The sequence below is a fragment of the Homo sapiens genome, chromosome 9, assembly GCF_000001405.40.
Source record: "Homo sapiens chromosome 9, GRCh38.p14 Primary Assembly".
NCBI classification, from domain to species: Eukaryota; Metazoa; Chordata; class Mammalia; order Primates; family Hominidae; genus Homo; species Homo sapiens.
In genome coordinates this window covers 2,746,770-2,748,575 of record NC_000009.12, presented here as the reverse complement: position 1 = coordinate 2,748,575, position 1,806 = coordinate 2,746,770, and positions in this window count along the sequence as shown.

Below are 1,806 nucleotides of genomic sequence, written 5' to 3'. Positions count from 1 at the left end.
GCAAGAATCCTGCTAAGTCAGTTTAGCCAGAATCCCCCATTCTCCATATCCGATCAAATTCCTTATCCCCCACCGTCCCTTAGATGTTGTCTTATTACTCTGGTCTGCTTTCAGCAAGAATCCTGTTAGGTCAGTTCAGTCATTATCCTCCTTACCGCTGATGTTACCTCTTAGTAATTTTCCATCCATTGCTCCTCGCTATAAATTCCCACTTTTCCTTGTTTTTGTTTTTGTTTTTTGTTTGGTTTTTTTTTGAGACAGAGTCTCGCTCTGTAGCCCAGGCTGGAGTGCAGGGGCGCGATCTCGGCTCACTGCAAGCTCTGCCTCCTGGGTTCACGCCATTCTCCTGCCTCAGCCTCCCGAGTAGCTGGGACTACAGGCGCCCGCCCACTCCCGGCTAATTTTTTGTATTTTTAGTAGAGACGGGGTTTCACCGCGTTAGCCAGGATGGTCTCGATCTCCTGACCTCGTGATCCGCCCGCCTCGGCCTCCCAAAGTGCTGGGATTATAGGCGTGAGCCACCGTGCCCGGCCTCCTTGTTTTATTTAGAGTTGAGCACAATCTCTCTTCCCTACTGCAAAACCCCATTGCAGTAGTCTATATGCCAGTCTCAATAGTCATAGTCCCTTCCTGAACAAAGTCTTCCTTTCTGTGTTTAACAAGCATTATTAATAATTTTTTCTTTAGTACTTGGCATAGGGAGATTATTCAGGTAGGCTTAATCTAGTCCCATAAACCCATTAAGGGAGCAGAGAGTTTTCTCCAGCTAGTGGCAGAAGAAGTCAGAAAGACTCAAAGTGTGAGGGGGATTTGACATGACAGCAGTCCTCTGTTGCAGATATGGAGGGAGCCATGTGGAATGATATGAGAGTGGCATTGAGGAGCTGATTGACCCTTGGCCCACAGCCAGCAGTGACAGTAACCTTAGTCCTACCTCTGCAAAGAACTGAATTTGGCCAAAGAACTGAATTTGGCCAACAACTTGAAGGAACTAGGAAGCAGTTGCTCACAGAGCCACTAGGTAGAAACCCAGCCTGTGAGACTCTAAGCCGAGAACCCAGCTAAGTCCCCTTGGGCTTCTGAGCTACAGAACTGTAAGACAATAAATGGGTGGTATTTTAAGCTATTAAGTTTGTGGCAATTTGTTATGAAGCAATAGAAGTCTAATCCAAGTCTAAAGCCTTTCCTTCACAGCATTTGGTGTCCTCACAGACTGATAGGAAGTTAGTCCTTCTGTTTCTCTGTGAGGGTTGGAGTGCTTTAGAACATGGTCCCCAAACTTTTTGGCACCAGGGACCGGTTTCATGGAAGACAATTTTTCCATGAACCAGGGGGCTAGCGGGGGGTGGTTTCAGGATGATTCAAGCACATTCAATTTATTGTGCACTTTATTTCTATTATTATTACATTGTAATATATAATGAAACAATTAATACAACTCAGCATAATGTAGAATCAGTGGGAGCCCTGAGTTTGTTTTCCTGCAACCAGGTGGTCCATCTGGAGGTGATGGGAGACAGCGACAGATCATTAGGCATTAGTTAGATGCTCATAAGAAGTGCACAACCTAGATCCCTCACATGTGCAGTTCACAGTAGGGTTCATGTTCCTAGGAGAATCTAATGCCACCGCTGATCTGACAGGAGGAGAAGCTCAGGCAGTAATGTGAGTGATGGGGAGCAGCTGTAAACACAGATGAAGCTTTGCGGACCTGTTCACCTCCTGCGGGGTAGCCCAGTTCATAACAGGCCATGGACCAGTACCAGTCCGCAATCTGGGGTCTGGGGACCTCTGGTTTAGAGGGTA